Raw genomic sequence first — 27,699 nt, 5'->3', positions numbered from 1 at the left:
AACTGGAACAGGAAGACGAGTGGTTTCCCAGCTAAGCAAACACCAGTCCCAGAATGGAAAAGATCCAACCTTCATGCCACAAAAAGCTGCTGCTGAGACACGTGGCCCAAATCCATTTTCTGCCAGCGTTATTTATGATCCCGGTGGGTCAGCTGGGGGCTTTCATTTGCCATCACATAATTAATACAACCGCAGCAGGTTGCCTGCTCCGAATGGCAGAACGTGGAGAGTGGGAGGCCCATCTTGAAGGACCCAGCTCCAGAAAGTTCCTGCTCAATGGGCGTCCTGGGAAGGAAATGGCCATTTTCCTCCTGGAGACAGACAGGTTGTCCACCCCGCAGTCTTCCAAGCAGTGCCACCCACTTAGCGGCTCTTGTTTTCTTCTCTGTCATCATCCACCCACCTCTACCCCCAGCAAGTGCTGTTAATTTGACTGCATGACAGTGAGCTTGGGGTGGCTAAATACGTGGTCCTTTGATCCTCTGGCCTAGGTTGCAATCTGTGCCTTGCTGCCTCTAGCTGTGTGGTCTTGGGAGATGTTAACGAACCTCTCTGTTCCTTTGGTTCTTCGTCTATAAAATGGTGATGGTGATGGTCACTGACACCTGGGTTTAATACAGAATTAAATATGAAAATCTGAATAAGGCCATTACAGCAAGGTGCTGGGCAGGGGGTGGGGATGTAAAATTTCAGCTTCACTATTATTGAGGCATATCTCCATCTCCACTCTCCTCCCTTCCCCGTCACTGCCTGGATTCCAGCTGCCATCCTGCTCCAGGGGTCCTGGCTTCGCAGGCGGCTCCCGCTTCCTCCCCTGCCCCACAACCAATTCTGCCTATTTCAGCCAGAGCTTTTAAACATCGTTTTAGCTTCCAAGACTGCATAAAAAATGTCCACAAACTGCGTGGCTTAAAACAACAGACATTTGTCCTCTCACAGTTCTGGAGGCCAGAGTCTGAGATGAAGGTGTGGGCAGGGCCAAGCCCCCTTCCGAGCCTCTTGGGACAGACCCTTTCTGGCCTCTTGTGGCTGCTGGCCTGTTCTGGCGGCTGCATCACCCCAACCGCTGCTCCCATCGTCACGAGGCCTCCCTTCTCTGTGTGTCTCTCCTCTTTTGTCTCTTACAAGGACACTTGCCATTGGACTCAGAGCCCACCCTGAAGGTCAGGATGATCTCCTCTTGAGATCCTTGATTTAATTCCATCTGCAAAGACCCTATTTTCAGGTAAGGTCACAATCACAGGTGCTGGAGGTTGGGACTTGGACGTCTGTTTGGAAGGACACGGCTTAACCCACTGCAAGGATGTGCATTGCGTTTCCCACCCTTCAGGGGGCTTCTTTTGTCCTTGGCCTGGAAGGCCCCTTGTCACCTCCCCTGCCCTGTGTCCTGCCTCAGTGACCTCCTGTTACTTCTCCAAATGCATCACCCTCTGCTCACTTTGGGAGCCTTGCACTGGCTGGCCCTTGGAAACAGCTTCGCTGCCTCTGCTGAGCTCATTCTTGTTCCTCCTCCAAATGCCACCTCCTCAGGGGCCCCGGCCCTTCTTTCCAAGTGGGTCCCAAACAGCCCCTCTCTACAATGGCGCCCACCCCTGCTCCTCCCTTTCATCTCCACCTGCTTATGGCCTTCAGCACATACTCACTCTAGTAAGTGTCCTTAACTCCTAATGTGTCTGTCCCAGCCCAGGACGCTGTGGGAGCAGGCCCCTTCTGCCCATTTCATGTCCTCAGCACTGAGTTCAGAGCCTGGCACACAGTAGGGACTCAATGAAGATTTTTGACTACATCGAAGTATTTCAGAAACACCACAGCATCAGGGAGCCCAGTTACCTGCACAGTGACAGGAGAGAGGAAAGAGAGCCCGGGGTCTGGGAAGCGGGTCTGTTTAGAGGCACCCAGAGCCAGGCCCAAAACCCTCGTCCTTGGCTCACCTGGCACACGAGGTCAATCCAGTGGCGGGGGCAGTGCTTCCTGGTGGGGGGTGCATCTGGCTTGGTGAGAAGCTCAGTCCCTAGCCTGGGACTCTGCATTCTGACCATGGACTGGGCGCCATGCTGTGGCCACAATTTAAGAGAAAGGGAAGGAGTCGCCAGGGGATTCTAGGCTCCCCAGGAAGAGAAGCTCAGCCTGTTGGGAGAAGGTCAAGGGACCCAAGCAGAGACCGATTGAATTCCCCGCCAGCCCCCTGCCCCTGATGTAAGGATATCCACCCGGAGCAGGCAAGCCAGGAACACAGATCGGGGAGGGACGGCTGAAGGCTGCAGGCTCCCAGGGAGGCGAGGGGAGGAAGGAAACTGTCGGCTGGGCCCTCGACCACCTTCTCCGTCTCAATGTGCTGCTCCACCCTGAGGCCATGGGGGCCACAACTGGGGCAGCTGGATTTCCAGTAGAACCACCTTCAGCTGAGCAAGCTCTGTTTGCGCCCTCTCCCTGGCCCACGCCTGCAGTCCTGCCTGGCCTTGAAGAATGAATTGAAAAGGCTGGGGTTCGGTTGCTCCCTGCTAGGTGCTGCCGCAGCTGATGTCCAGGTGCGAACTTGGTTATCTCACAACAGCCCTGAGGCTAGTTAGACACCGCCAGCATCCCCAGTTTGTAGATGAGGAAACTGAGGCACAGAGAGGTAAAGGTCATGTCCAAGGTCACAGGGCTGGTCGAAGTAGATCTGGGCAGTTGGCTGCCGCACAGGATGGAGTCTGGACCAACCCCCTTGCCACTCGCTCCAGGCTGGTGGTCCAGCTGCTACAGTTTCCCATGCAAGCGGAAAGCTGGTCTGGGTTCCACACCAGGATGGGACGCACCTCACAAAGCCCCACGGTCTCCTGCCCTGTGGTCCTTGCTGGCTTCATTTTCTTATTCTTTGATCAGTCCCCTGGTGGGGAGCAGGCACAGTGTGTGACCTGACAAGGCAATGCCTGGCCACTGATGCTGCTAAATTGTTAATAATAGTCACAGGAAAAAAAATGGCCCACAGAGGCTGGGCCAGGTTAAGCCCTGCATGTCGGGACAGGGTACAGATTCTGTCCTAACTGTGCCAAGAACTCAATGCAGGTTTGAAGCTAGGAGCAAAACGATCTGCTTTCTCCCTGGCTTAAGGCTGCAAGATTTAGCAAATAAAAATACAAGGTGCCCAGGTAAATTTGAGTTTCAAATAAATAACTTTTTAGCATAAGTATATAATGAATATTGCATGGGACATACCTATGCTGAAAAATATTCACTGTTGATCCAAAATTCACATTTAACCGGGTGTCCTGTATTTCATCTGGCAGTCTCATCCTGGCTGTTGCGTGGAGAATGGGAGAATGGAGAGCAGTGCAAGGTCAGAGGAGGGCCAGGACACTACAAAGAGTCTGGGATATGGCCCAGGGGACCAGTGACAGTGGCTCAGATGAGGTGGTGGCAGCATAGATAGAGAGAAGTGGACAGATGCGAGATATATTTTAATAACAGCTCACATTTTGAGTGCTTGATGTATACTACCTCATTTACTCTTTATAATAACCCTCTAAGATTGGTACAGATACTGTACCCAACACACAGATGACAAAACAGAGGCACAGAGAAGTTAAGTAACTTGCTAATTTGTGAGAGAACCAGGATCAACACAGGTCCCAAGCGTCCATTCGTAAGCCTTCTTAAGGTACTGTTTACCTGGATTGAGTCTCACCAAATCCTAGTCCCCAAACTGCCACCTCTGTTCAAAGACCTCAGCTGGGTGGAGAAGGATGTGCGAAGAGACTGGAACTGTGAGATGGGTGAGGGCCCCTTATGTAGAAACCAAGGGGTGCCCCAAGACAGAGGCAGTGGGGTTGTGGAGGGGCTGCTCCATGTGAGAGAGATTTGGGGAACTGACTGTTATCAGGGAAGCAGCAAAGAACGAACACAACCAACTCCATTTTTGCTTAAGGGGCTTTATCCATTTCTGCGCGGAGGCTGGGATAATTTTAGAGCATTGAGATAATATGCAAAAACAGCAATCATGGAGTTTTAAAAACTAACTCTGGGATTAAAGGGAAAGTATGTAAACAACTGACTATGTTTTCAAAAATAGATTTATAGGAGCATCGTGACCTGACCAAGGACAAAGCAGTTCCCGATCTCCTTGGACCCGCACTGGTGCCAATGTCTGTGGTCATCTGTTACATCTCCACCCCAATCCCCTCCTCCTCCCCTGTCCTGAACATAAAAAGAGCCTAAAATTTGTATGGACTTAACTCAAGATGGTATTAATACTTCAGGAGGCTAGTTCATCATCTCGGTTGGCTGGCTCTCCCAATAAACCTGCTTTTCTTTCCACTAACTCCCATCTCCTGAGTTTTGGCTTTTGAGCTGCAAGCAGCGGAACCTGGGTTCAGATACAACAGGGAGTGTCCTCCAGAACTCAGCAGCACGTGGGCGCTGCGGCCTGTACCATACCCACTCCCCTTTCTTCTAGTTAAAACCTCTCCTGTTTCCATAGGGAACCGTCTCTCCTTTCACTCTCTCTACATGTTTTGGGAACCAGCTGTACCCCAGGCTTCAGGGGTGCCCATGTGGCCAGGCTTGGCTGTCAGCCCTCCCACTGCTCTGCCTGGTGGGTGGTTTGCACCCGGCCTAGCATCTGTCCCACGGGAGTGCTGACATCGGTGGTCAGTGGAGAGAGAGGATCTCTTTCCAGCGGAGCTGCCGAGGTGGTGAGAGGGAGGCACGCTGCTCCTCTCCCGATGCACAATCGCTGCTTCGTCCCCAGGAAGCAGCCTGGCTCCTCCATTCCTAAATATCACCAAGCAAAGTAGGGTTTTGTTTGATCTCTGTGTAGTCAAAGACCCATGGAGATGTGTTTTCCTTTTTCTTTTCAAACTAGAGCGGTCTGACCTCCAATGCCAAATTCAGTCCTTTGCTTTTGCCAATAAAAAGAGTCTAAGAAATTTTGAAAATAGAGTTTAGAGTAGACAGTAACTCAAAAGCTTAGTGTAGGGCAGGACTACAGAGCAAAGCCATCAGGTATCCCCTGCATGCCGGCCATGGTTATGAGTAGTGGGTCACTTTCTCCACACACATCGGGGTCCTGCCCTGACACTGGGGCCTTCAGAAGACCCCTGTCCTCACCCAGTGAAAGCTCCAGGACTCCTGATAAACTGGTTCTTGTTTCTCTTTTTAACCAAGAGCTAACCTAGACTGCCATTTGCAGTCAGTAGACAGGTCCCAACTCTTGGTGGGAGGACTCAGTTCCACCATTTTTGCATCCCTTTAGTGAGGAACAAACCTTTAGCGAGTGTATTAGTCTGCCTGGGCTGCCCTAACAAAATACTACAGACTAGGTGGCTTCAACAACAGTAATGTGTTTTCTCACAGTCTTGGAGGCTGGAAGTCTAAGATTAAGAAGTCACTAGGTTTGATGTCTTCAGAGGCCTCTCTCCTGGGCTTGCGGACAGCCATTCCCCACTGTGTCCTCACGTGCCCTCTCTGTGTGTCCTTCCCTATTCCCTCTTCCTCTTCTTACAAGGATGCCAGTCACACTGGATTAGGGCCCACCTTATGAAATTAGTTAACTTTAATCATCTGTTTAAAGGCCCTACCTCCAAATACAGTCACATTTGAAGATGTGGGTTAGAACTTCAACATACAAATTCCGAGGGGACAGAATCCAGCCCATAACAGTGAGCGACAATGGCGTGTAGGTCCTTGTGCTTAATGGACATGGCAGGAGTGGCTGGGGTGCACAGGACAAACAAGGCAACAGCCCCTGTCTGCTCAGAGCGCTCATTCTAGAAACTTCTTGAAGAAGCATATCATATTGTCATTACAAGTTTTTCGGACAGATTCCTTTGAAGCTGGGTGTGCTGTGAGGTCTGGAAATGTACCAGGGAGAGAGAAATTCATAACCTGAGTTGTGGAATGGGGTCTCCTGGGGAACACAAGCTTGCATTGATGGGAGATAGCAGTTTGGATGGGTACCTCTCAGAACTCTCTTCCTTATACCCACAAGGGAGGCCCCAGGAGCCACAGTTGTACCATGACCTCACCCCTCCTTGGCCACAGCTGATTGGACCAGAGCTGTGCCCCGATCCAAATCAAGTTCTTTCTCAGAAGAATTTAGACCTGGGAGGCACACAGATTCTCAATGGGCTGTGTTGGCTGCTTGAAATCAGGAAGTCTCCTGAAGCCAGTGCACAGGGGTGGCAGGGCCAAGGAGGGGAGTCTACAGAGAGAGAGAATGAGGCTGGCTTGGGAAGGGTGGCAGAAAGGGAGTCTCCAGAGAGACAGAATGAGGCCAGCTTGGGAAGGGTGGCAGAAATGAGGGGCACCAGACAACGAATGTCCCTCCTGTGATAAGAACTACCTGCAGGTGCTTGTTACAAACACAAATCTGCCCCTTCTTTAGGCAACATGTGGCCAAGTATCCCCTCCCCGGTGTCCCTGTCCCGCTCTGGTGGCATCTGGTGGCAGGCAGCTCGCTAGGTGGCATGGTGGACAGATAGCCAGGAATTGGCACTTTGGTCCCATTCCTACAGACACACACAGACTCCAGGGGTCCTTCTGTTGGAGCTACTGGGGTGCTGCAGTGGCCGTGGGAATGAGCCCAGCAGAGAAGGAGGAGAGGAAACAGCCTTCGTCCCCCTCAACTCCTCTTGCCCCTCCTCTTATATTTCTCCCTTTAAGTCCACAAAACCGCAAGCCGGATCAGCCTTTCCTGTTTAGGCAGCTTCGTAGGCATCTCTCAGTAGGTCCCAGGAACACATCGGGCCTGCTCAGAGCACTCACCCATGCCATCCCTCTGCTTGGTGTGTCTTTCCCTGCTAGACACTAGATGGTGAGCACCTGCAGTTTCAGAGCAAGGTGACCTGTTTGCAGCTGTGTCCCCAAGCACCAAAAACTGCCTGGGCACCCTGTGGACTTATTAAAGACAGGACAGTGGCAGGAACTCCCAGGAGTGACATTATTCCTTTCATACTCGTGACTGCTTAATTTCTCTTAAGTGGAACAGGCTCCAGGCACTGTGAGTCCTGCATGAAATCCTCTTCCTGTTGCCCCCAGGAGCTCACAGCCCCGCCGACTGGTCCTTGGGAAGGGTCCTTGCTGAACCCACGATCCCGTTGTGGGTGGGGCCTTGTCTTCAGCTGCTCTGATGATGGCTTGACCCTCAGACACTTTCTTCAGAGGGTCTCCCTAGAGAAGTTCACAAGCAATGGTCCATCCGTCTGTCTATCTAGCTGACTATATGCTACTAGTCAAGATTTGGGGTTGGGTACAGTGGCTCATGTCTGTAACCCCTGCACTTTGGGAGGCTGAGGTGGAAGGATCCCTTAAGCCCAGGAGCTCAAGACCAGCCTGGACAACATAGGAAGACTCTATCTGTATAATTTTTATTTTTTTTTGATTTGCCAGGCATGGTGGTCCATGCCTGTGGTCTCAGCTACACAGGAGGCCGAGATGGAGAATTGCTTGAGCCCAGGAGGTTGAGGCCGCAGTGACTCATGACTGTACCACTGCACTCCAGCCTGGCAATAGAATAAGACCCTGCCTCAAAAAAGAAAAAAAAAAAAAAGATTTGGATATCACATCTAATTTCTCTTCCTGCAACTTACAGACTGCTGAGCCAGTGGGTCTCCTGTAATTAAGATCAGGGCAGGGAAGTGGCCACAGTCATCAACCCCAGCACCTCTCTCTCCCTTGAACACAGGCTGATGAGGTGGACGAGGTGTTTCTGTTTCCCTTGAGTCCCCTGTGTTGGAACATCTTTTCCACCTTCCCTTGCTGCTTGTGTCTGTGATTACTGGTGTGAGTGTTGGGAGACAAACCTCCTCTCATTAATTCATTCATTCACACACTTGTATTAGACAAAACCAAGTCCCCTTGGCACCCAGTCTCAGAACTGGGTCACAGTCAAAGAAACAACAAGCTGAGGGTCAAAATAGTTGAACAGGAACTAATCTTTGCTGAAATCTCTCAAAAACACTCAAGGAGCTTTCATTTCTCTTCTCATGTGCATCAAAGCTCCTCCCATTCTCCGTCCCAGGGTTCTCAGCCCTGGCCTCATAGCACAGGATCACCTGGGAAGTTCCAGGCCCCACCCAGACAGATGAGGTGGGAGTCTCCAGGGTAGGGCTCAGGGTGCTTGTTTGGGAACCCTTGCACCCAGGTGATTCCAGTGCCCAGTCAGGTGTGAGCACCTCCATGACCCGCCCAGCCCATCTGTTCTCCTGACCCCCCAACCCTTGTGTTTGTCTTCATTCCCTTTCACTTCTACTTCTCTCCACCTCCCGCTTGCTCATTATCCTATTTTTAGGATGAGAGCCAGAAACGAGATGGCAAAGTCAGAGTTCTTGACAGGTAGAAGGAAGAGCAGAAGATATAGATTTGCCTGTTCATTTTTGGGGGCACACATTATTCAACCGACATTCTCTCAGGCTCATTACATGCCAGGCACTGTGGGGTCTGGAGAACCAAAGGTATTGAAAGAAAAGAGAAGGGAAAGGGCTTGTGGTTTAAGACAAGCAAGTAAAAGGCAGTTATGGCAAAAGTGATACAGAACATAAAAATGATGGCCAATACAATTCATACCTGAGGAGTAGCCATGTGCTGGCCTCTGTTCTAACTCAGTGACAAATCTCACAACAAAGTAGGACTAGGTAGAGAGACTGATGTTAATTTTATAGGTGATGAAACCAAGGAACGGATAGGTTACTCGTACGTTCAAGGTCACACAGCTGGCAAGAGCTGACATTCCAATCAGGGACATCTGGGTTCCAGAGTCTAGCCCTTATGCATGGTGCTGCCCTCAATAAAGGCTGTGGACCAGCAGAGATGGGCTATGAACCAGCCTGAGAAGGCACACTAGGGCACCAGGCGAGGCTTCCTGGAGGAGGTGGTGTCTGAGCTGAGTCTTGAGGTGTTGGATGTTCCATAAAGCTTCCTGCGTGCTTGTCACTCACCTCTACCTTCCAGGCTGTGCCTGGATGAGGCAGGGCATGCGAGGCAAGGGAAAGGAAGGTGGACACGTGACACACAGTGATGTTCCTTGGTTGACTTGAACAAGAGAAGGAGACATAACAAACTAACTTAACAACAACGAAAAAAGCGAAATTTGCTGGCACATACAACTTCAAACTTGGGCAGTTTGGTGGCCTTCGGGCACAGTCATACCTAGGGCCTTACTGCACAACAGTAGGACTTATTTTCCTCCTGACATCTCTTGGCTCTCCTTTTTGCTAGTTGGCTTCATGATCAGGCAGGATGAGTTCTAAGTGACAGCAGGGGTGGTCTCCAGCAGCCTTGAGCTTCCATGACCTTCATAGCTAAGAAGCCTAGAGAAAAAGATTACAATCATTTCTTACACAGAAGCCATTTTATTCCTCCACAGGACACTGGCCCTGCTTAGGTCATGTGACTGCTCCTCGGCCTATCTTGCTGTCCCAGGGCATGGACTACTCTGATTGGCCAGTGTGAGTCACATGCCCGACCCTGTAAAGGATTCAGGGCCAAGCTCTTGCAGACAGCTCCAGGTGGTGAAGGGCTTTCCTAAGAGGAAAAGACAGCAGGGATGCCAAACGAAGGGAGTCCCCAGAGCCCAGGGCCTCCAGGAGGCAGCGGTTCCCTTCTTCTGTAGTACAGGCACCCACCTGGATGTGGAAATGCTCCTCTGTCCCCCACCTCCCGAAGGGGCCAGGTACCTGCCTGCCAGGCCCGCTCCTCATGCCCCCTCCAGCCTCAGCCTGGGGTGTCCAGCGTGGGTACAGTCAGGAGGAGGAACGGAAAAAAGGACACAGACCGGCCATACGTTTACACGTATTTAAAACCAAACACAAACAATTCCTGATTGATTCCAGAAAATCACTGAAACTGCTAGAAAAAGAAGAAGGCAGGGTGATGGGACCCTTGAAAATGAAATGGAATTAATTGACTGTGGAACGGAGCACCATGAAATTAAAAATAATTTAATCTGAAGCTCATATACTGCGGTTGAGCTTTCTACTTAGCATTGGAGGAATATCTGATATGTGGGACCTCCACTGAACAGAGGATGTGGCGGGAGGGGGACAGGCTGGACCCTTGTGGCTCAGCCAGGTACCTGGGAGCTCAGTGATGGGTTGGGTCGAGAGCTGATTGGCCCCATCCCCATGGAGACAGACCTGCCAGGATGAGTGAGAAGGTCAGGATAAGGACAGGTTCAGGTAAGCAGACCCTGAACCAGCACCCAGAGCTCCTGGCAACCTGAATGACCCTAGGGAAATCTTGTCCCCTCTGAACCTCAGCCTTCTCATGTTGTAAATAAAGAGGTTGAGTGAAGGCAGTGTCGTCCAACGTGCGGCATACATATCATTGGCAAGATGATCTTAGGAGGCACACAAGGACTTTTTTTTTTTTTATACTTTAGGTTCTGGGTTGCATGTGCAGAATATGTAGGTTTGTTATATAGGTATACACGCGCCATGGTGGTTTTTGCTGCACCCATCAAGCTGTCATCTACATTAGGTGTTTCTCCTAATGCTATCCCTCCCCCAGCCCCCCACCCCCCTGACAGGCCCCGGTTGGTGATACCCCCCCCGCCCTGTGTCCCTGTGTTCTCATTGTTCAACTCCCACTTATGAGTGAGAACATGCGGTGTTTGGCTTTCTGTTCTTATGTCAGGTTGCTGGAATTTTTTAAAATTAATAATGATGTGTTTATCTTTACAGCCACCTTCTGGTTTTGATTTTCCCAACTACAACTGTGATATAAGGTTTTCTTTTAAAATCAATTTGCTTTTGTGAAAATCGTGAGTCAATTTAGAGAATAATTCTAAGTAAATTATAGTGTGGTGGGCAAAAGTCATGAAGGTGGTCCCTGCGTGACTGGCGTTTGGAAAATACCAGCTGGGTGTACTGGAATTTGGAGCAGGGAAAGGACGAGAACCTTGGTGTTGGGCCAGCTGGTGCAGGGTCTTGGTCTAGTGTCCTTGGTATTTGCACTCCAACCATGAGTGGGAGCGTGCAAAGTGCCCTGGTGGCCAGATATCATGCCCAGAGATAAGCACTGAGCTTCCTAGGTGTGCTTGTCTAATGACTCGTCTGTGCACCTATTAGAAAAATGACTGCAGTCCCTGATGACATGCCATTTTGAATCATGCTTTTTAGAAACTTAATATTTTATGACAGTCACCACATGCCATCAGACCATCTCCTTCAACACAATTGTCAGCAACCACTTGCTGGTCCCTCTTGTGATGGCCCCATAATATGCTTAACTAACTCTTTTTGAAAGGCTATTTCCCATTTTTCATTATTACAGACAGCAGTGCATCAAGCTCCCCTGTAGCTGGACCTGGGCTCTCTTGCCTGATGATTTCCTGAGGAGACTTTCCTTGGAAGGCACATGGCCGGAAGCTCCCGTTTAGGGTGGGGAGGAACGATCACTGCTGCTCATCTTCTCAGGGGTCTCTGCCCCAGTGAACAGGAAAAGCCTCTCACCCCACCTCAGCTGTCCTGGTTGCAGCCCCAAGCAGCCTACCTCCCCTGGCGGGAGGCCATTCAGCTCCCAGCCCTGTCTAGACAGCGAGCGTGCCAGCTACAGCCAGGCCTGAGCCGTTGTGTGTGTGTGTGTGTGTGTGTGTTTCTGTGTGTATATATGTCTATATGTGTGTGTGTCTGTGTGCATGTGTTTGTTAATTACCCTGGAATGTCTGCTCCAGCCGCCACTGTGGAAATGTAGGTCATCCTGGCGAGGCGGGCGGTCACCATTAGGGGGTCAGGCCAGCCACTGGCTCACACACCGTATCGAGGTCACGGCCATCTGGGAGCCAGTGGAACGGGGCCCAGGCATATGAGAAGCAGACAGGCTAGGTTCTTTCTGCGGCTGTTAGTACGTTTCATAGCATGGCTCACAGCCTAAGGCAGGCGGCTTTCCTGTCACAAAGGTAAGAGCCAGGGTCCCATTGCATGCCTTATGAGCTTTCACAAGCAATCTTTGATTGAGCCAGGGCATTCTGCAAGCAATTTCCCTGGCATGGTCAGTGCTGTTTCATCCTCACAGCAGCCCTAGGAGGAGGGTCCTATTATTACCACAATAACATCACACGTTATCTCCATTTACACTTTACCATTTTCATAGTAACCATTTAACCTTTTCATTTAGCCATTTTCATGGTTTCCTCCATGATCTCGGAAGAGTTACTAAGTTCTTAATCATAATACAGTCATGAGTTGCTGAAGGACAGGGATACATTCTGAGAAATGGGACATCAGGCCACTTCCTTATTGTGCAAACCTCAGAGAGTGCACTTGTACAACCCAGGTGGCACAGCCTGCTGCACACCCAGGCTGTAGGATACAGCCCATGGCTCCCAGGCTGAAAACCTGGACAGTATGTGACTTACTGAAACTGTAGGCCGTCGTAACACAATAGTAAGTATTTGTATCTCTAAACATGTCCAAACATAGACAAGGTACCATAAAAATACAGTATTATAATTTTGTGGGACCGCCATCATATAGGTGGTCTGTCCTTGACCAAAATGTCATTACGCAGCACATGGCTGTAAGTAACAACAATCTGTTACTATGTGCTGGTCTCATCTACTCTCAGCTCTTGTAATATTTTTGTTAATTCACTAAAAAGCCGACAATGATTGCTCCCATTTTATAGATGGGCACAGAGAGGCCAATTACAAAGCTAGTGTGATTCAAACCCAGGCAGTCTGGCTCAAGGCTGAGCTCTCAAACCCTGAGCCCTTCATCACTGTGTTAACACCCCCAAGTTGGCCGGGCGCGATGGCTCACGCCTGTAATCCCAGCACTTTGGGAGGCCGAGGCGGGCAGATCACGAGGTCAGGAGATCAAGACCATCCTGGCTAACACGGTGAAACCCTGTCTCTACTAAAAATACAAAAATTAGCCAGGCGTGGTGGCGGGCGCCTGTAGTCCCAGCTACTCGGGAGGCTGAGGCAGGAGAATGGTGGGTGAACCCAGGAGGCAGAGCTTGCAGTGAGCCGAGATCGTGCCACTGCACTCCCCCCTAGGCGACAGAGCAAGACTCCGTCTCAAAACAAAACAAAACAAAACAAAACAAAACAAAACAAAACAAAACCCTAAGTTAGGTTGGAGTCAGTCATGGGCTTAGACACACCATTTGGATTTTTTTAAAAAAAACTCTAGCGCAAGAAAGGGGCTATTGTGCCCACGGCAAAGAAGCCTTTGGTTAGAAAGAGTTAAGCTTGTGTCCTGGTGAAGGAAGGTGGCTCCAGGGGAAGTTTCTGAAAAGCCAGATTTTCTCAGTGTGGCTGTTCACAAGCCCAGGCCAGGAAGCCTTTTATCAACACCCCCGTCCCCCACTCTTCTCACCCCAGGTTTAAAAAATAATCTAATCTAACAGATGTTTCCATCTGCAGAACAATAGGCTGTGTGTGAGGGGCTTGTTTGTGCACCTGACAGTCATAATTGTTCAAACGTTTATAAGCTGTGGGGTTATGAGGAAAAGGTTTTTAAGAGACTCAAAGAAATGAGGAAATGGTGCTTGGAACCACCCTCTCCTGCAGGGTTGGGACTGGCTGCATTTCCACTTCCCCTAGCGTTTTATTATGAAAATTTTCAAAAATACAGAAGCATTGAAGGAATCGGCGAGCACCCAGACACTCCCTGCCGAGGCCGCCCTGACAGTCGGCTGTGCACGTTGTCACTCCTCCATCCGCCTGTTCTCTGTGCCAGCTGCATCTGAAACGACACTCGCTGTCGGAGGTGGCTTTCCCTCCACAGGGAGGGCATTCCCACCGCCGTGGGGGTTTGGCCGTGACTTTTGAAGGATATTTTTATGCAGAATGTGGTATTTGAGAAGGAGTGGGCCAAGAAATGTGAGCCACTGTTCTTTTCATTTTCTTCCAGGCTCAGCGGCACTTTCTGCCTTTGCATAAAAGCCAGCACAATCCTGCCCGAGGTGGTCCACGCCCTGGTGGCTGCGCTAAGTGCTCCCCACACACCGTGTTCAGTCCTTACAGCTGACCTGAGCCCCAGGTATTATTATTATTCTCCCCATATTCCATGGGCAGAAATTGAACCTCAATGAGGTAAATGGACATTTCCGGGGCCCCCTGGCTTGGAAGTGGCAGGAGGAGGGCGTAGACCCCCAGTCCCAGCCACGTGCCACACCACCAGGACCAAGCCTCCAACTTCTCTCCACCTAGTCTGATGCCTGGCACACTGTAGTCACTCCACAAATGCCTGTTGAATGAACTGAGTTAAAAACCCCCTTTTACAGAATGTGTTGGAAAAACTGAGGCTTAGAAGTCAGATGGGTAGAGGGTAGGGGAACACCATCAACAGCCCCTGGTTGTCATCACTTCTTGTCTCTGACTGTTGTGGGGCAGGAAGTTTCCTTACTCTACAGGTCTCCCCCAGGCTATGATACTTCTTCCTGAGCCCTACCCGGAAGCCCTTCCAGCTGCCCCCATGGAAGACACACATTCTGCTTAAAGCTCCTCCAGGATGACAGGCTTGTGCTGATTTCTGTCCTGTTGAAAGGCCATGTGAAGAAGTGGAAAGAACCCAACCTCCCAGGGTCCTACAAACCTAGAGCTAAACCCAGCTTCCGGCCATGATTAGCTGTGTAAACTTGAGCAAGTTATTTTTATCTCAACTTCTCTGTGTGTAAAAAGATGGTGACCATACCTCCTGAAGAGAGCTGACGTGGGTTTAGAGACAGAGAGAGGAGGCGAGCAGCATGGAGTACCCAGCCGGTGCTCAAGGAGACGCTGTTCTCCAGGAACCTCTGCTAGGCTTGGGGCTGTGTCACGTGATTTTCACATGAAGGGATTAGAACTGGGCTGGGGCCTCTGTGATCTCTGACCATGAGGATAGTTGGATCCATATCTTCTGGGCAATGTGACAGAAGGGCCCCCTCCCCACACACAGCTCTGTAAGGTGCCTTTTACTCTGCTGGTTTGCCCAGGGCATGATTTACTTGGGCAATCCCACCAGAATTCAACAATGAATCATATATGATTCCTGTCTGTTTCTTTTGTATTGATCCCCCTTTCTGCCCTCAGGTTGCTGAAAGACTATAAAAGAGACATTTTTTCGCCCTCTGTTTTGGGACCAAGACTACACAGCAAAGGGCTTAGTGTGATTCAGTGCTACCAATGCAACCCATGCAAACTCAACCTAACCTAACCCACCCAGCCCAACCCTCCCCACCTCAAACCAACTTAACCCAACCCAACCTAATCCAACCCAGCCCTACCCAACTCAAACCAACTCAACTCTAGCCAACCCAACCCAACTCACCTCAACTTAAACCAAGTCAATTCAGCTCAACCCAACCCACTCCAACCAACCCACCCAAATCAAGCCAACCCAATTCTAGCCAGCCCAACCCAACTCACCTCAACTCAAACTAACTCAACTCAGCCCAACCCAGCTCAATGGCAACAGTTGTTCAATGGAAAGCACATGGGATTTGGAGTTAAATAGACCTAAGTTGAAATCTCAGCTTTTCCAGTTACAGGCTATGTGACCTTGGCCAAGTCACTTCACTTCTGAGTCTGCTTCCTCATCTTAAAACAGAGGGGAAAATCTTGTATTTGCCAGTATAGAAGATTCATTTTCTGTTTCTCAGATGCCTCCTTGTGTGACACCATCAAGTCCACCATAAACCAATGGATGGAATAACTCTCAGCAACTTGTCCCTTTCCTCCCCTGCTCCCCTTGGGTAAGAAACTGTGCAAGCTTCAAGAACAGCAGAAAGAAGAGGCATCTCCAAACCAGTCTTCCTGGCTACTTGGCAGTTCTCCAAGAAGACTTGGCTAGTCTGGGGTAGTAGATAATATCTTTCAGAAAAGCTTCCTGGTAAAATTGAGTGACTTATATACTAGCTAATCTTTAGACTGCAAATACAGTAATTTCTAGGCATTGTAGTGAGGATGGATAGTAATACGTGGCACTCACACTAAATACTGAGAAATCACTGCAGTCACCACTGCTACTGTTACCACCATTGAGATAGTAGAATAGAAGCTTTCTTCACCTGTCTTCACATCACTGAGCCACTAACCAGTGCTCTCCCCTGCCACTGTAAACATTCTGTGGCCGCCCACAGTGCTCTGAAAGTTGGAGGCTGGTCAGTGACACCTCAGTGAGCTCTCCCACATCTGCCTTCATTCAATGAGTCATTTGATTAACAAGAGTCTGTGGATTGTTCCCATGCCTTCTAATGCCAGTTATATTTGTAACTTTAATTTCAAAATTCAACTGAATTACTTACTATATAAACTAAAAAACTATGAGTGTGAAAGCAAGAGAATAGTTGCTTCTGTGAAAAATAAGTCAAATGCTGTGGAATGACTTGAAAAATATGAGTTCCTAAAAAATATGCTGAACAATGCAGTGAGGAAGAAACTACTGTAAAGATGAAAAAATACACAAACAATGAAGGATTCTGCATTCAGATATCTTTGTAAGTGCCCTTTAATTTTTACTTCACTTTAAAGGATTGGAAACTATAAATGCTGGTGACTGTAAAAATGGGTGTGGTTTATGTAAAAGATTACTATGCAACTCCAAACAGCAGAAATAAAAACACCTTGGTGTGCTCACAAAGATTAGTAAGTGGATGTACCAGTGGGTCATTAAATCATCAGTTTTAACTGCTTCGGGTTAGAGGGATTTGACGGCACTGGAACTGCCACATGGGCATTAAGGAAGCCACATGTGAGTCCTGGGGCTTGGTTCTGCAGTGGGCTTCAAGCACTGGTATGAGCCGAATGTGAACAAATCATGTGTAGTGGGAAAAAACACAAGCTTGGCATATAGACAGATGGACTCACGCCCTCCACTCCACTTGCTTGCTGTGTGACCTTGCGTGCACCATGTCATTTCTCAGAGCCATGATTTCTTCCTTGGCAAAAGGAGGTGCTAATATCTATCTCACAGGCTATAGAGGCCGAGGGAGGGTAGGGGAAGCCCTAAGCCAAATTTTGGCCCAGAAGAGGGACTGCAAATAGCACTCACATTCCCCTCTGCAGTGTGCTTCCAGTTCCATGCATCCAGTGTGAACCTGACTTTCTTATCTCCCAGGGATTTCTCAGCCAAGCATCAATGAATCTTGAATCTCAGCTGATGACACTCCTGGGCAAAATGGCTATGAAACTGGAAAGATGTCTATGAAACACACAGTCCCTCAAGCCAGAAAATGCACTTGACACATCTGTGTCCCTTGAGGAACCTGAAGTTTTGGTGAATCCAGAAAGCCATGGATGGCAGAACTGGTAAGAGGAAATGGGAAGTCCCAGTAAGAGAGAGGCTGAGGCCCTGCCTCCTGGCTGTGTGTAGAATTAAAGAAGCATTGCCTCCTGGCTTAATCAGGGATGGCAATCTCATTAGCCATTGTCTGACCTCTAATGGGCAGGCCCTGTGGGTGGGCTGTGTGGTCCAGGGTCATTAACAATGATGCACGTGGATTTATTGGAGAGACAACCATTTTCCTCCAGACCCAGTTGCAAACTTGGCTTCTAGGTCTTCATTGTTCTCGGCATATAAACAAGAAGGGCTGTGGCCCTTGGAAGGGCCCCTCCAGGAATCCTGAGAGAAAAATCTCTACCCAGCAGCAGATGTGGGCTTGTGACAGCTCCATTGTTGGTCGGGTGGAGGGGGGTTGCGGAGGAGAGGCCCACTCTGTGTGGCCAGGATTCAGGGGCCCCGAGAGAGGCCACTGGCTCTCACCCCAATCCTCTCTGCCTGTTGAAATACAAATAGCCTGCACTTGAGTGCTCACCTGTGCTACTCCATTCCACGCCGGACAATTGCGAGAGGGAGGCTCCATGAGGTTCCCATTTTATGGATGAACAAATGGAGGCTCAGAGAGGTTTAGAAACATCCCAAGATTGGTAAAGAGGTGAATCCAGGGCTGAACTCGTTCTGATGTGTTTCACGGCTGATATTTTAACAATGAAACCTTACTGTCTTCATTACGATAAGTCTAATAAATGGCATTTGTCTACTCACAATTAGCATCTGGGTCCTTAATGTACATTAAATTACCAAGTCATCCAAAAATGCTATCGAGATGGTAGAATAATTATTCCTATTCTGCAGAGGGAAAAGGTGAGGCACAAAGAGGTTGGGAAACTTGCTCTCACCTGATGTTCAGTAGTATTTTCTCCCCTCCACAAAAGTTGGGGGTGGTCTGTGGCCTGCCAGGGGGGACCTTTTTAAGCAGTGAGAGGCAGTGGGGTCTCCTGGTGACGGTTATTGGCTCATGTGTCAGACAGACCTGGACTGCAGCCACATGCTAGCCCAGCAACTCTCTTCACCTGCTGGAGCCTCGATCTCCTCTTTTGCAAAATGGGATGAGAGGGCGTGGGGGCCTTCAGGAAACTGCTGCTGAAGCTGGGGAACGGGACACTCTTGTCCAGTCTTCTGTCATTTCATTAGTTTGCTTATCGACTAAAGGAGGCTTTTTTCCCCCCCGTTTAAGCTTTGAGAGTTGGAGTTCATAGATCAGAAATTTTAATTTGAGTGCACAGAACATAGGTTCCTTTAGTTAATTTGACCACTCGACTCAGCCATCACTGACATTGAAATCCCTTCTTTCATCTATGGCTGCACCTAAGCTCACCCTGTAGGGTTGCCAGAAAAAACACAGGATGCCTGGCTAAATTTGAATTTCAAATAAAAAATAAATAACTTTTTAGTATCAGTATGTCCCATGAAATATTTAGGGGCATATGGATACTAAAAAAAGATGATTCATTGTCTATCTGAAATTCGATTTTAACTGAGTGTCCTGTATTTTTGTTTGCTCAATCTGGCAACCGTACCACCTGGCCACAGAGGGAGGGGGAGGCCTCAGGGCACCCTAGCTGGGACTTGGCCCCATTAATGGCTATGATTATGATTTGTTTATTGGCAACCGCTCTGTGCCGGGCACCGTGCTGAGCTCTTGGCCTCCACCTTCTTGCCTTTCATCCTCACAAGCATTTTTCACATGTGGAAACAGAGGGAGCTGAGAGGGGAAGCGACTTGCCCAAAGATGTGGGTCGCTGAAGCCCAAGCCTGTTATGACTCAGCCTGATGCATCTCCAGCACGGAGACATGTGGCCCCCACGTCCTGCCTGCCCCACGCAGGGTCCTCGCCAGCCACTGAGCTGCTTCACCCTCCACCTGGCGCTGATTAGATTCTTGAGATTTTCAGTCCAGTGCCTGAGCCAGCACATAAAATCTTTATTTTTCCCATCCAAATTAGTTCCTGGGGAGACCCTGTGCCCTCCCTGGCTTTTATATGCCTTGACTTGGCTCATAAAATGACAGACGTCACCCTAACAACCCCCTCCTGTTCTCCAGCGAGACGGGAGGAGTCTCTCTGCTCTTGGCTGCATTCCCCTACCTGGATCACCATGAAATGTTATTTCCAGTAGACCGAGCGACTTAACGGCTGTCATATGGCACATATCAGGCGGAATCGTCTGACTTGCTCCATCCCATCATGTTTCATGGACCATGATTAGCTGCGACATTCTAAGGCACACAGTGCAGCCTTGCCTGTGACTCCCCTTAAGAACAAATGGCTTCACCTGACTCCAGAGGCTGGCTTTTATTTTGTTCCTTCTTTTTATGTAGTCGGCCTCATGGGAGTGGGTGAGTCTGGCAGCTGCTGACCACCTCTGATCGCACTCCTAAGCCAGGCTCCATGGAACTGAAACTTCAGACTCAAGCTAGATGATTCTCTATGACTTTGCCCCAGTTATCTGAAGCCTGGTTCCAGTTTGAAAAGATAAGTTATTATGGAGATAAAGCCAATTGTGAGATAAAGCCGATGCCACCATCTCGAGACATTTGGGGATGAGTGGCTCTGGCTAATGGGCACTGAGGGCATCCTCATTCATTCATTCTGTAAATATCCACTGAGCATACTCTGTGCCTGGTATGTTAGCACCAGGGACGTATTGAGACAACTAAGACATGTTCACTGCCTTTAAGTGTTCCATCACCTAGAAGGGGTCAGAAATGTAAATGAACAGCCAACATGATCAGGGCCATTATGCAAAGACCAGAAGACCTACAGGAGGCGTCTCCGGGCCGTGGCTGGCTCCCTCTTGGCTCTCTTTGGCTCTAGGCAATGGATCAGGATTGATCTGAGCTCCTCACAGCTGCTTGTCCCTCTTGTCAGTGACTTATTTCCCAGACTCTCTTCGGTCCGGATGGCATTGCGGCACCACAAACAAGGCTTGAGCTGAAGTAGGTGGTCAATTTATAAGAAATATTTTGCTCTCCTGAAAAAGAAGGTCATGTTCATTGGCTTTCCCCTTTTCCTTTCTTGTCTTGAAAGCATCAACATGATGCTTCAAGCTGCAGCAGGTCATCCTGAGGCCATAAGGCCACCAACCTGAGGACAGAAAGTGGAAGTGCTTAGAATTCTAGAGGGGAAGGCAGGGAGAGCCTCTGTCCCTGCCGGCATGGCCAAGCCATGCCCCAGCCACACAGCACCCACCCCTCCCTGCTCGTTGTGTGAGAACAATAAACTTCTATTTGTTTAAGCCACTGTTAGTTGGGTTTCTGATACCTGCAGCCCAAAGCATTCCAATCTAATACAGAATTTAGTACATTTTATCTGGAAGGTCCTGGAAAATCTAGGCAGAGGGGGTAATAAAAAAAATGCACAAAGTCCCTTGTCCTCTAAGGTCTATAGTCAGGGGACATGTAGCCTGGAACTGTTGTCACTCATTTGTGTCCTTCTATCCTGGTAGACAGACCTCCTTGCCTTTCTGGGAGCTGAACAGCTTTAGCCTCCAGGAACCCAGGGAGGTGAAATGAGACTTCTTGCACCTGCTCAGGTTCCCGACACCTCTCTGGAGCCCCATTCTCTCCTTTCACCAAGTTAAGCTGTAAGAACGCAGCACCCACAGACAGTACCTCTCCAACCTGTGTGCTATGTGGCACCCAAGCATCTTCTCAAAATGCAGATTCTGATCTAGTTGGTCCAGGCTGGGGCCTGAGAGTCTGCATTTCTAAAAGGTTCACAGATGGTGCTGATACTGCTGACCTGGGGACCACACTTTGAGTAGCAAGGTTGTGGAGGGTGGCCAGCTGCTTCTAGGACTATCCTGCTGTGGTCAGTACTGCCCTTCTACCCTTGGAAGCAAAGTCCAGTCGAGTATTCTTTACTCCAGCCCACCTAGCTGGAATGCCCACGTTCTGATTTTTTAAAATTATGCCCTTCTGCAGTCGGATGGGACTTCTCAATTTTGGATTCAAAATCAACTCCCTGGGCTTTGCATAGACTCAGAGTGACCAAGTGTCCTGGTTTGCCCAGAATGAAGGGCTCCTGGGGATGTGGGACTTTTCAGTACCAAAACCAGGAAAGTCCCCTGTGAACCGAGAAGAGCTGATCATCCTATATAGGTTGAAGGCTGTTCAATTAGAGGGAAGGCAAGATGACTCAGGAAGGCCTTGGCACCCAACAGTGTGAGCGCCCAGTGGTATCAGCCAGGGCTTAGTGAGCACCAGGCTAAGTGTGGGCATTAGTCACAGTGCTCCACGCCAGTGAAGTGCGGCAAGCCTACTCTTTGGGATTTTCTCTGTCATCCCAGACCTGGGTCTGGAGGCTTGGATTGTGGGGAACAGAAACAGCGAGCTCCCCACCTCCCTGGCCTTGCTGTTGCCATGTGGGGCTGGAGAAGGCCACGCTGTCACAACTCCTCATGAAGCAGTGAAGACTTGGGCTGGGACAGAATGAGGTCATGGGTCCTGGGCACCTCCTGGGTTTGCTGGGGCCTCCCCCGCCTTCCACCAGCCCTAGGCGGTTAATGACTCGCTCAGCTCCTTAACTAAAAAAATGTGTGCTGGCTCCCAGCTGAATGCCTTTAATTTGTCTCATTTGTGCCTGAAGCACTGGGTGTGGACAAACCGAAGTTAAGCAAAAAGGCTATTACCATAATGCGATGGCCCTCTGGCAACGTCTCTTCTGAAACTCCGTCCTCTCCCTAACAAGACAGGCTGGCAAGGAGGGCATGCTAACTCCAAGCACTGGCCCGCCTCTGCCTGTGGACTGGTTTTATTTTGTGGCTCTTAATAGTGGTTTTGTGGTTTTAAGAAGTGGCTGACCTTTAAAAATGGGAAGATTTCAAATAAAAATGTATATTTCTAATCACTCTTAAAAAATCCAGCAGCACTGAATCCACCTTCTGACATAGGAACAATTAGCTGGGGAACAAGGACAGGCTGCCCTGGTGGGTGCAGTGGGGGTAGGGTGGGGTGGGAGTCCCTCAGGCAGCCTGGCCCCTGTGACTTGGCGCAGGTGCTTTTCCAAATCATTTCTTGTCTTATTTTATTAAGTGAGAAATACTAAGGATGCTATTCGTTCTGTTATCAGCACATTATCAGTATTGGAGTCAGTTTCAGAAGTAATTTCTGATTCACTTGCCTTCCGAAGACAGGGCTTCCCACACACGCAGGACCTTGGACCAAAGCAGGACAAGAAGCATTTGAAGTCCTGGAGTAGAACTTCAGAATTAAAGTCTTACATCATTTTCATCATTGTAAAAAAATGTGCATTCATTGTGAAAATGGGTGTGAATTTTTCATAGCAGTATTTGGAGGAACATAATGAGTAGCCGTTAAAGGAGTGACTATCCCATGTTTCCTCTGGGCATTGTAAGAAGCTCTCCAGAAAACGTGAGCCAGCAGCTCTGACGTCTTTCCCGATGCAGTTTTTCAACAGGAAATGTTCATTCAGGCATTTGTGGGGGTGATGTCTGCTCAAATAAGTGTTGCAAAGACACAGTTCTTGGAAGGCAAAACTGAAGCAAGTGAAGGATCAGGCTCATCTCATTACCTGATTTGTTATTTTTATTGTAGAAGCAAAATTTAATGGCATGAAAAATATGGTAATATACAGATACATGAAAATTAACAGGTTATAAAACCATACACAGTGCACGTTATCATTACAAGTAGGTGTATATTTAAATGTGTTTGTAAAAAGAAACATGAAAAGCTGCATGTCAAAATGCATTTAGTAGGTTTTATTGGTGGATAGTTGGATTATGTTTTCTTTTTATTCTCATTTTTTAAAGGAGCTTGATAGTCAATTCTGTTTCCCAGGTTAAGTTTCCTTCAAACTGTTCAACGGAAATTAGCAAATGCTTACCAAGGACCCAGGATGAGTCCTTAGTATGTGCCAGAGATGGTCAGGAACAACAGCTATCATAATGATGACAGCGTTATGATGACGGCATTACTAGTTAGGACTATGTTGGGCTGTATGTCAGAGAAATTGATCTTTAATCCTCCCACCTGCTTCATACCATGAAGCCCAGACACAGGCAATCCAAATAGTGGCTCCACAGTGCTACTGAAACCCAGCCACCTTCTTTCTCTCCTCTTACCCATCCTTCCACTGTGCTTTTCATCCCCACCAGAACAAAATGGCTGCTTTGTCTCCAGACATCACATCCAGAGTCCAAGAAGAAAGAAGGGAGGAAAGGAAAGAAAGGACATTCTAAAATCTTTTTTTTTTTTTTCTATTGAGGAGAGAAAGCTGCCAAAGGATTGTGACCATGGTCACATGGTCATTTCTGGTTTCCAGGAGGTCTGGGAAGGCGAACGTTGTTGAACAGGCACATCTACTAAGGTGCCTATTGTGAAACGCAATTTACTGCTTGAATAAAATTGAGATTCTGTTAGTGAAGAAGAAAAAGAAAGTGGATATTGGTGGAGGACCTTGCAGTGTTCACCCCAAATAACAATGGTGGTCATATCATTTTCTGTGAGTTTTACTGCATGCTAAGAACTGTGCTGGATGCATTAATGTTTTGTGTCAAACATTAATAACTATTATTATTATGATTTCAGACCACAGAAAAAGAAACAGAGGCTCAGAAAGGTGAAGCCAATTGCCTGAAGCCACACAGAATATCAGCTGGAGTCAGGATTCTAACACCATCCCATGTGAGTTTAGACATGTGCACGTAATCCCCAGGACATACCAAAAGAAACAGGCATTCAATATATCAAGGGATAGCCATTTCTCCCAGAGCCCAGTGGGCTGTGGCTCTTGTGTCCCTTAAGACCAGTGCTTCTCGAACTGTAATGTGCATCGGGTCACCTGGGCATCCTATTAAAATGCAGGTTATGGTTCCTGGCCGGGCCTGAGATTTTGCATTCCTAACAAGCTCCCAGGCGATGCCCATGCTTGTAGTCTGTGGACAGCACTTTGAATGCCTGAAACCACCTCCCAGACATGTCCCGCCTTCCTGGAGCTGGCCTCCTGGTTTCAGACGTGTGGGCAATTGGTGCTGAGATCATTCAGGGCACGTAAGGAATGCGCACAAATGCAGAGCTCCAGGGAAGAAAAGTCACAGCACAGGACCCAATAGGAAAACTGCCATTTGGGGAGACCAAGCCAAGGAGCGCTTTGCTCCTGCTGCTTTTCTCAAGGAAGAGCTTGCTTCCTGCAGTAAGTGAAGTCTAGGGTGCAAGGACAAATGATGTACCTCAGACCCAGAGGATTCATTAAGATTTTGATGCTCCTAGAAAATTGGCTCCATCGTCCATGTCTCAGGAACTGGGGGGTTGTGACTTTTTTTCTTTGGTGGTAGGATGACGATGGTGATGATGATGATGGTGATGATGACAAAGATGACTATGAAGAAGCAGTAGAAGGAGATTTGGAAGAGGGAGTAGAGGAAGGGGAGGAGGAGGAGCAAGGTCATCAGAGTTTGTTGAACACTTACTACATGCCTGATCTCATTTAACCCTTAGACTCACCTGGTGAGGGTTGTACTACATTTATTCCCATTTTACAGACGAGGAAACCAAGCTTCAAGGAAGCTGAGTCTCCTGTCCAAGCCCACGCAGTTGGCAAGTTGCAGATCTGGAGTAGAGTACAAAACTCTCTCATCTGTGTCTCCAAGACACCATGACCCATCATGGCTTCCTTCTGCTGGTTCAGGCGTAGTCTCAGAATTTTTCCTGCGCCATTGCCCGCGCCACCCCATCAACCCCATCTGTTGCAGGTAGCTGATGCTATCTACTGCCAGCCTGGAGCCAGGCTAAGAGGAAGAGAAAGAAGAAAATGCCTGCAGAAACATTCTATGTAAAGAACACTTTGGGATCAGAAAAAGAAGCGCGCCCGTGTTTCACTTGCAGCCTCACCCTGCACTAGGTACAGCCAGTTCTGCTCTGAGGCTTGTCTTGAAAATACAAATTTGTTCTAGTGTGATTGACATGTTAGTGGTAATTTGAGCGTGATGCGAATTTGGTTTTTACCTATATGTGATTTTGTCCTCAGGAAATGCTAGGCCAATGCAGAAAACTACATCCTGCTTGGCAAGCCCTGCAGGACACACACACACACACACAAGCATGTGCACACACACGTGGCCCTTCAACGTCACCTCAGCTGTGGGTTAGGAGCCACACCTGTCCACACCTGGTGTTACAACCATCTGCTCCATTTCAGGTAACCCTCCTTCCTCCACTGCACAATCACTTAGAAACTGTAACTCTTCTTGGGCCCAGGTGCACAGGTAAATTCGGATCTTTCCCAAGGTAAGTGCCATGTTTACCTTCGTGTTTATGCATTTCCTATGCATTTAACGTGTGTAAAATGGTGCTATCATTTTATTCAGCTTCTGTCTTTGTTTTCAATGTTACTGGTAATATTTTGAGTGTTGTGCTCCTAACCCCATTCTTGCCACAGGCCCTGCATGCTACCGTGATTTTTAGGAACCCTATGTCACCTCACAGATCTGAGCATATATGAGTTGGGCTCGTCACCCGGCCTTCTGGGAGTCTCAGTTTCCCTATTTGTAAAATGGACATAGTAAACCCATCTCCATCTCACAGAGGATAGTAAAAAGAGCCCTGGCCTTGGAGTCTGGGGGCTGGGCCACAGGTCAGGCTTCAAGACCCCCTGGGCCACGTTGGGGACTTGGGTTCCTGAGATCCAATCTCTGAGCATCAGCTTCACTGTCTGTCGCAGAAGCACCATTTCCCCACCTTGTCCACCTCACAGAACAGCCAGGTGGCTTAGAGGTGAGCTCTCAAATGTCAACAGGCTTTGCAAACTCCAGTGGTCAGCATTATGTGAGTAGTTCAGTCTTTCCACAGGGATCTCTGGGGCCTCGGGTCACAGCAGACCAGAACTTGACCTGGAGGCTGGTGTCCCCCAAACTGCTGTATGGACCCTGCAACAGCTGGGGAGTCCTCGTCTCAACAGCCCTGCTGTCTCCCACTGAGGTCATCTGCTGGCCCTCCTGGTGGCCCTGTGAGGAAGCCAGGAGTCACTGATGCTGCTCTATCGACGGCGACAGATGGATCACAGCTGATAAGTGACTTGCCCAGAGTTTTGCAGCTTGGAACTCACAGAGCAGAAGCTGGGAATCAGGTGGGGAAGCACCCAGCTCTCTGCTTCTCCTAAGCCAAGCTCTGCAGCGAGGTCCTGCTTCCCTCGGGACTCCTCTTTCAGCATGACATGAACTCATTTTGAATGTAAAGGCAATGTCAAAGCCCTACAGCTATTTATACCAGAGCATGTGTTTATTAGCTCACTCTCCAGGGGGAATATTGCTGTTGTGAATACACAACTACTCATAACTACCGTCTTAAAAATCTTCTCTACCCCAAAATATTTACTAATGTATTTAAGTATTTATTTTCTTGTAGTGAAAGGAAATCAAGATAATTCTAAAATTGTGGAAGAAAACAAAAAAAGTATAAAGGAGAAAACAGAAGCTTCACATATTCTAACCATTATTAATCTCAAAATATTTTATTCCAGGTCCTTGTCTATGGTCCAGGTCCTTGTCTATGGTCCTATAGCCTATGCTGAGTGACACTGTGCTATGTGTATGCCATTTGCACTCACCGTGGGGTCATAAGCGTGCCATTTCCTTTTTATTAAAAAAATACTTTGCATACATGAAAGTATGTTTGCATTAAAACTATGCAAACATCAGTTTTAATAACTGTATAAATATTCCATCACAAGGACATTCCATAATTTATTTAATCACTTTGGTAGTGTTGGACATTTAATTTTTTAAAAAGTCAAATAATGCCAGGATTAATGCCTGTTTATATGAACCAGTTTTCATTTCCTGATTATTTTCTTCGGCCAGATCCCCAAAAGTGGAATTACTGATAAAAGTAGGTGAGTGTTTTTAACACATTTCTTCTTATACACACACACACACACACACACACACACACACACCCATCAACAAATAGTTTTTCCTGGAAGGAACTTCCAGTAGTGTATGAGAAAGCCTATTGCACCACACCATCCCCAGCAATGAGAATTACTACTGTAAAAAAATCTTTGTTACATTAAATTTTTGGAGGACATCTCATTTTCTTGATTGCATTTGATTAACTCAAAATGTATTTCTACAGGGTGGGGAACATCACACACTGGGGCCTGTCGTGGGGTGGGGGGATGGGGGAGGGATAGCATTAGGAGAAATACCTAATGTAAATGACGAGTTAATGGGTGCAGCAAACCAACATGGCACATGTATACATATGTAACAAGCCTGCATGTTGTGCACGTGTACCCTATAACTTAAAGTATATAAAAAAAATAAAATAAAACATAAATAAAAAAATGTATTTCCAAACAGATTTTTCACTAACAACGTGTTAAAGCCTCAAAGTGAATATCACAGCTGGATTTTAAGGCTTGTTCCTTGTGAACGAAGACATAAGCTCTGCTGAGCCATTGAGCAGTCTAGCAGCCTTCACAGTTAGGTCAGCT

General features: G+C 48.3%; 2 long non-coding RNA genes across 4 annotated transcripts, besides 1 other annotated feature; one reads left to right on the top strand and one right to left on the bottom strand.

Moving 5' to 3' along the window:
• Window positions 2,448-2,949: an enhancer, noted in NCBI's record as "H3K4me1 hESC enhancer chr20:56585301-56585802 (GRCh37/hg19 assembly coordinates)". NCBI's record gives its function as "activates a minimal SCP1, AML or CMV promoter by ChIP-STARR-seq in naive H9 embryonic stem cells {active_cell/tissue: H9 hESC(naive)}" and the evidence as "EXISTENCE:reporter gene assay evidence [ECO:0000049][PMID:30033119]".
• On the bottom strand, window positions 8,546-9,290 carry LINC01742 (long intergenic non-protein coding RNA 1742). Its single transcript, NR_147083.1, has 2 exons — window positions 9,127-9,290; window positions 8,546-9,009 (listed from the first exon to the last, which is right to left on the bottom strand). It is a non-coding gene; the product is annotated as a long intergenic non-protein coding RNA 1742 (long non-coding RNA).
• A 4,341-nt stretch (window positions 9,291-13,631) lies between these two features.
• LOC105372693 (uncharacterized) lies at window positions 13,632-27,295 on the top strand. 3 transcript variants are annotated; one of them, XR_007067678.1, is made up of 6 exons: window positions 13,632-13,964; window positions 17,022-17,212; window positions 23,796-23,891; window positions 24,959-25,107; window positions 25,405-25,493; window positions 26,055-27,295. It is a non-coding gene; the product is annotated as an uncharacterized LOC105372693 (long non-coding RNA). The 3 variants fall into 3 exon arrangements; XR_007067676.1 differs by adding an exon at window positions 15,565-16,401 and having other exon boundaries at window positions 25,405-27,295; XR_007067677.1 differs by having other exon boundaries at window positions 13,632-16,401.
• The last annotated feature ends 404 nt before the right edge of the window (window positions 27,296-27,699 follow it).

The sequence above is a fragment of the Homo sapiens genome, chromosome 20 (assembly GCF_000001405.40).
Source record: "Homo sapiens chromosome 20, GRCh38.p14 Primary Assembly".
Classification (NCBI taxonomy): domain Eukaryota; kingdom Metazoa; phylum Chordata; class Mammalia; order Primates; family Hominidae; genus Homo; species Homo sapiens.
Note: the sequence above shows the minus strand (reverse complement) of the source record. Positions and strands in the feature narration are given on the sequence as shown.